We start from the raw sequence: 7,137 nt of genomic DNA, 5'->3' as shown, positions 1-7,137 counted from the left end.
AAAAAGTTCATGATCTAGTTGGGGAGAAGGGATTAGGACCCTCAGACATCTAGTAAAGCACATGGTACCAACTGGGGTCAAGTGTGGAAATGTTGAGCCCGATGAAGTACAGCAAAGGGGTGATGGGTAAGGACTGGGATTGCTAAAAAGGCTTCAAGCAGCTGGGACTTGGGAAGGCCTTGCACTTTGGTAGGGCTTTTAGAGACAGGTGATATCTGTGTGTGTGGAGGTGGGTGGGCAGTGCTACAGAGCACCAGGAGGAAGTGTCTTTGGGGAAAAAGTCAAAGGGGACTAGAGCAGAGCCTGTGGCTGCCATCACTTTAAGAGTTTCCTGTCTATGTGAATGAGGCCCCAAACCATTACCTCTGGGCTTTGACTGCCCAAATCTCTACCACCTGTTGGAATCTCCACCTAGACGACTCACCAGCTCCACTCTAACTCTGACCTCAGCAACTTGATTCTCTCAATACCTTTTCTATCTTGACTCCCCTGTTATTTTTTCCCGTCCACCTCCTCTTTCTTTCCTATGCCTTCTTTATTAACCGTGATTAACTACAGAGTCTATGCATATAATAGTCTATTACTATGATCAGTCCTTCTATGCATATAATAGTCTATTACTATGATCAGTCCTTAAATAATGATCCTAAAGTTATGTAAGACACAGAATCATCTGGAGTATAACTCTAGACTGCCAATAATCAAAGATCTATGTGCTTAATACTTTATCATTTTGAAAACTTATGTTTATTAGAGAAATATATGCATTTGGTAAAAAAGAAAATCACAGAGAACAGAAGAATTTATAATGAAAAGAAACAATCTTTCAATCCTTCTTTCTCCATTGCAGTCCCATTCTCCAGAAGCAACCTCTTTTATGTTCAAGCCTTCTAATGATTACGTCCAAACTTCTAAATAATGACTTCCATTTCTTGATTTTTAAAAAAATTTTGACAATATATGTTGACTCTCGGTCATGAAAGATGAGGACTTAACTCATTTATATTACACCCCACCTTTCCATCTTTGCAGTATTTGACCTTTACATTGTTATTTTTGAGTGATTTTATTGGATAACATTGCAATATTAGGCACCATATTTATATCTCTATTTTTTCCTCTTTACTGAATATCTCTATGCCACGCCTCCCCTGCAAATTCCCACCTCATCTCAGCCTTGTCTAACTTTTACATTGTCAAGATGGTTAACATTTACATTTGTTCTGAAACCATAATTAACTCTCATGAGTTTTTGCTATGGATTGAAAACCAAAAATCAGCATTTACATTATCATACCTACGTGAATATTGTTCACTGCAGAGCCAAGTTGTATGTTAGGATTGTGTTTTCTTCTGTAATAGCCTAATGAAATGTCCTCTGGGTTACTCAAGATAGAATTGTTGTAGCATCAAGGTCAAAAGGTTTCTCTTGCCTTACTTTGCAACAATTGCTTAAAGTCATAGAATGTTTCACGACTGAACCGCACATTTCTCAAACATCTTTTGATTATTGTTTCTGTTGCCTTCCTCCCTCGGTTTTAATGGACTTATATTGCTCATTTATATTTAAAAGTAAAAGATTAAGAAGCTAATATGGATTTCCTCTGTCCTCTGGAGAAAGATCTTGCGCCTGATGGCCATGCATAAATATACTGGGGTATATCACTGTCAGGCTTAGCTCTGGGATGAACAGGCTGGGAGCCCCTCCTCAGGTCACAGTGAGAGAGACGCTTCTGAGCAAAACATCCAACACAGAACCATTGCTTCTTCCAGTCAATAGTTTGTTCAATTTCCTTAAATAGGAGCTTTCCTGAATTTTTTTGGAGATAAAAGCTGGGCTGCCTGTAGCAAGATGGGAAAGGAAAGGGATATGGCATTCCCTAATACAAATGTTTTGTGTATAGACATTCTAAGAAGCCTTCTGATAGCCTCTGACTTCCAATATTCCCCCTGTCTTACGTGACTGCTCTAAGCTTGGAGCCCTACAAAGGCTACTTGAGCAGATCAGGTTCCACCTTCTCTGCAACCCCCTCAATCAGATGTTTTGGGCTGTTGGTTTCATGTTTCTGTTTCATCTATCAGCAGGCTTCCATACTTTCTATTTTCCAGAAATTTGTTGAAATCTCTCATCTGTCAATGCAATAGATTGAATGATTGTGTCCCCCTCCAAATTTCATATGTTGAAATCCTAACCCTCAAAGTGATAGTATTAGAAAATGAAGCCTTTGGGAGTGACATAGGCCATGAGGGTGGAGCCCTCATCTATGGGATTGGTGCTCTTATAAAAGAGACTTCAGAGAGCTTTCTTCTTCTCTTTCTGCCATGTAAGGATACAATGAGAAACAGGTGATCTGCAACCCAGAAGAGAGCCTTTATCAGAACCCAGTCATGATGGTACTCTGATCTCGGACTTCCATCCTCCAGAGCTGTGACATTCTCCAGAACAGAAAATAAATTTGTGTTATTTATAAGTCACTCAGTCTATGGCACTTTGTTGTAGCATCCTTAAGTGACTAAGACAATTACCCACTTTCCTGTTCTTTTCCAGGGTTTGGAAAATGAATGGAACAAAACTTACCCTCATGAATAAGAAAAGTCACACTTCTCTTCAGTTTTGAACCCCACTTTTTCCTCTTTATCTCTAAAACATTTAAGTCTGTATTAGTTTTCTATTGCTGTGGTAACAAATTACTGTACACTTAGTGACTTTAAACAACACAAATTTATTTTCTGCTCTAGAGGCCAAAAGTCAGAAATGAGTTTTACAGGACTACAATTAAGGTGTAAAGTCAAGGGCTAGTTTCTTCTAAAGCCTCCAAGAGAGAATCTGTGTCTGGCTTCTTCCAGTTTCTGGCAGGTGCCAGTATTCTTTGGCTCATGGTTGCATCATTCCAGCCTCTTGCCTCCATTGTCACATCTCCTACTTCCTCTTCTGTGGTCAGAATTTCCCTCTGCCTTCCTTTTATAAGGACACTACCTGGATAATCAGGGATAATCTCCCCATCTCAAGGATCCTTAACTATCGCAGCTGCGAAGTCCTTTTTGTCATGGAGTAGCATTCACAGGCTCCAGGGAGAAGGACCTGGATATCTTTGAGGGCCATTTTCTAGCCTTCCACAGTCTTCCTTGGTGTCTTCCTTTCTGGGCCACACACATTCAATCAGTAACTAAGTCCCATCGACTGACTAGTCCAGTGGCTCTCAACTTGTTGCATATTACAATCACCTGTAGAGCTTTAAAAAATACCATAGATCTTGGCTCCATTTTGAGGCTGAGAGTTAGAATTTCCGGGAAGTTAGATCTGGGCTTTTTTTTTTTTTTTAAAAAAAAAACTTTTTGTTTTGATAAAAATTCAAACTTACTGAAAAGTTGCAAGAAAGGTACAAATAACTCACACAGACACTTGATTCACCAATTGTTTACATTTTGCACCATTTACTGTATCATTCTCAATAACTCTCAATTTTTTCTAAACCCCTTGAGAATCTATCACTACTAAATATTCTTCAGTTTGTACTTCCTGAGAATAAGAACATCCTCTTTCATAACTACAATACCATGGCAAAAATCAGGAATTTAACATAGATACAATACAGTTTGCTTTCCCACCAGGGATATATGGGATGGTATCAGGATTGCAATCCATGCTTTTTTATTGCTTCCATTTGTCTGGAAAAATCTTTGCCTATTCCTTTGCTTTTAGTCTTTCTAAATTACTTTGTATTAATTGTGTTTCTGGTTTAAAGCATATAGTTGAGTCTTGTTTGTGAGCCAAATAGAAAATCTTTTAGCAAGTGAGTTAAGTCTATGCATATTTATTGACAAAGATGATGTGTCAGTTTTAACTCTGTCACATTATTTTATGTTATTATTGATGGCAGTGGCGGCCCATCTGGAATGGCTGCTGCGAAGACGCCAGCTGCAGCAGGGGAGGCATGGCCAGGACTGTGTGCTCTATGGAGCCAGCAGGGGCTAGGAACAGGTGGGATCCCTGCCCCCTACCAAGTTGGCAGGGCGGAAACCCTGTGCTCCTGGGTGCAGCAGAGCTGCCCAGCTGTGGCTCTGAACTCGGGCATCCCTGTGCTTTCAGGGGTCTGGGAAGCACCCTCTGCCCCTGCAAGCTCAGAAGTGCATGCTCCTGCTCCCTGGCCTCTCCCCACTCCCAGTGCCAACTCTAATTTTGGAGCAAAGCTGTGGCTGAGCCTGGGTGCTGTCACAACCTGGCCAGGTGTGCACATGCTCAGGGCAGCACTGACACACAATCCAGCTGCCACCGCCTTGGCCCCCTCCAGACTTTGGACACCAACAAGCATGGGGTCAGGGGTGCTGAAGGCAGCTCAGTGTGGGCCTGCAGGCACCCCTTGGTGCAAATAGCCTTGGTGCTGTGGATGGCATGTTGATGGTGGGTGCAGACAGGTTCCTGGGTGGAAAGGGGTGGGTACCCAGTGAAACCCCACCTTCAAGCCAGGGCTGACCTGAAGCCTCGGGGCTGGGCTGCCAGTTCCTGGTAGAGTCTGCACCTGGAATGAGAACTTATGGTGCTTTTTCTGGGCCCGCATATGGCCACTGATGGACGAATAAGCATGCACTTTCTCCCTTCTGAGCCCATAAAAACCCCAGACTCAGCCAGACTCACACAAACATTGGACTACCAGCTGTGGCAAGGAGGTACCCACTTCTCATCTCCTTGACTCTTCAGGATGATCTGCCTGCAGAAAGTAGCTATCCACTGTGGGTCTCCTCTCTGCTGAGAGCTGGACACTTGTCAGGGTGATCTGCCTGTGGAAAGGAGCTACCCTCTTTGGGTCTCCTGAGAGCTGTTCTGTCACTCAGTGAAGCTTCTCTCTGCTTTGCTCACCCTCCAATTGTACCTCATTCTTCCTGGATGTGGGATAAGAACTTGTGACCTGCCGAATGGTGGGACTGAAAGCTGTAACGGAAACAGGGCTGAAACATGCCCCCTGCTCACCATGTTGTGGATGACAAGAAGAGAAGAGCTATGGCCCTTTGGGAAGCCCGGACCTAGGGCATCCCTGAGCCAGAGCTGTGACACCCTCTTTGGGGCTCTGTGGTTCCTGGCATCTCCAGGCTTCCAGGTGCCACTGAGTTCCCCTTTTCCAGGCGTGGGTGCACACAGCAGAAGCCATGTGTGGTACATCTGGTCCAGCTGCAGCCTCGCACAGAGCCAGCACCTGTGCTGGTGCCTGAAGCTGTCCACCCCATCACAGCAACCAGCATGCCTGGCTGTGCGCAGTGGTCAGATCCCGTGCTTGCTCACTCGCTCCCACACCCTTTGCTGCTTCTCAACTGGCTCACCCTTGGCAGATGTGGCATCTGGGTTGGTAGTAGGAACCAAGCACAGCCTGCCAGGTTGAGTTGGGGGAATGAGCCCAGTGGGCACAAGCAAAACCCAAGTAGAGGCACCACCAGCCACAGAGGTTTCTGGCTGGCAAAGTGATACCCTAAAGAGCTTGTGACATTATTCTTATGTTTGTTATGTTACATTAGCTGTGTTTACCTACACAATTTGTTTTCATTCATTTTAGATTTTTAAATTACTTTAATATTCAGTATGATGTATATTTTTGTTTTAGAGATTATCTTTGTACTTACATCTTTAAAAAATGTCCTTAGTCACACTCATTAGAGTGGCTACATAAAACAAAAAATAACAAGTGGTGAGAATATGGAGAAGTTGCAACCCTTGTGCACTGTTGATCAGATTGTAAAATGATGCAACTGCTATGGAAAACAGTATGGTAGTTACTCAAAAAATTGAAAATAGAACTACTAGCAATCCTAACTCTGGGTGTATACCCAGAAGGATTGAAAGCAGGGTCTTAAAGACATATTTGTACATTCATGTTCATAGAAGCACTTTTGAAAATAGCCAAGAGGTGGAAACAACCCAAATATCCATCAGTGTATGAATCAATAAACAAAATGTGGTGTATATATATATATATATATACAATGGAATTCTCTGCAGCCTTAAAAAAAGCTACAACATGATGAACTTTGAGGACACTATGTGAAGTGAAATAAACCAGCTATAAATAGACAAATACTGTATAATTCCACTTATATGAGGTATCTAAAGTAGTCAAATTCATAGATATAAAAAGTAAAATGGGTTGGGCACAATGGCTCACACCTGTAATCCCAACACTTTGGGATGCTAAGGTGGGAGGACCACTTGATCCCAAAGGCTTTGAGACCAGTCTGGGCAACATAGTAAGATCCCATCTCTACAAAAAATAAAAAGTTTACCAGGCTTGGTGATGCATCCCTGTAATCCCAGCCACTTCAGTGGCTGAAGTGAGAGGATCACTTGAGTCCAGAAGATCAAGGCTGCAGTGAACTATGATTGTCTCATTGCACTCCAGCCTGAGCAACAGAGTGAGACCTAGTTTCTAAAAAAAACTGTTGTTAGTCCCCCCTTTTTTATTATTATACTTTAAGTTCTGGTATACATGTGTAGAAAGTCCCCTGGTTTTCATTTGACTTTTTCTATTTAGTTTTTTTTTTTTTAGTTAAGTTTTAAATCGTACTTTACCTCCCACCTCTGGTATATACAATAGTCAATGAGCTTAAGCATTAGTGGTTTTTCAAATATCTCCAGGTGATGCTGTTATACAGCTAGAGCTGAGAATCACTGAGCAGCCCCCCCACCCATTCTTTCCCTTCCTGTCTTATATCATGATTCTATTATAGTTTTCATCTCTCTTACATACTGTAAACTGCCTTATCTGCCTTTTCCCAGACTGTTTATTCAATTCTGTCTAAATACTATGCCCAGAGTAATCTTCCAAAAGTTCCACTTCGTGTCACTTTCTCCCCTCATAAAAAATTATCAATGTTGCTGGGTGCGGTGGCTCATGCCTGTAATCCCAGCACTTCGAGAGGCTGAGGCGGGTGGATTGCCTGAGTTCAGGAATCCGAGAATAGCCTGGGCAACATGGCGAAACCCTGTCTCTACTAAAATACAAAAAACTTAGCTGGGCATGGTGGTGTGTGCCTGTAGTCCCAGCTACTTGGGAGGCTGAGGCAGGAAAGTTGCTTGAACCCGGGAGGCAGAGGTTGCAGTGAGCTGAGATCGTGCCACTGCACTCCACCCTGGGCGACAGAGCGAGACTC

General features: G+C 42.9%; 3 annotated features.

The window, feature by feature from the left end:
* Positions 4,133–4,633: an enhancer, noted in NCBI's record as "H3K4me1 hESC enhancer chr5:61458278-61458778 (GRCh37/hg19 assembly coordinates)". NCBI's record gives its function as "activates a minimal SCP1, AML or CMV promoter by ChIP-STARR-seq in naive H9 embryonic stem cells {active_cell/tissue: H9 hESC(naive)}" and the evidence as "EXISTENCE:reporter gene assay evidence [ECO:0000049][PMID:30033119]".
* Positions 4,684–5,184: an enhancer, noted in NCBI's record as "H3K4me1 hESC enhancer chr5:61457727-61458227 (GRCh37/hg19 assembly coordinates)". NCBI's record gives its function as "activates a minimal SCP1, AML or CMV promoter by ChIP-STARR-seq in naive and primed H9 embryonic stem cells {active_cell/tissue: H9 hESC(naive and primed)}" and the evidence as "EXISTENCE:reporter gene assay evidence [ECO:0000049][PMID:30033119]".
* Positions 5,185–5,685: an enhancer, noted in NCBI's record as "H3K4me1 hESC enhancer chr5:61457226-61457726 (GRCh37/hg19 assembly coordinates)". NCBI's record gives its function as "activates a minimal SCP1, AML or CMV promoter by ChIP-STARR-seq in naive and primed H9 embryonic stem cells {active_cell/tissue: H9 hESC(naive and primed)}" and the evidence as "EXISTENCE:reporter gene assay evidence [ECO:0000049][PMID:30033119]".

The sequence above is a fragment of the Homo sapiens genome, chromosome 5, assembly GCF_000001405.40.
Source record: "Homo sapiens chromosome 5, GRCh38.p14 Primary Assembly".
NCBI lineage: Eukaryota > Metazoa > Chordata > Mammalia > Primates > Hominidae > Homo > Homo sapiens.
This window is presented reverse-complemented; position numbering and strand designations above follow the sequence as displayed.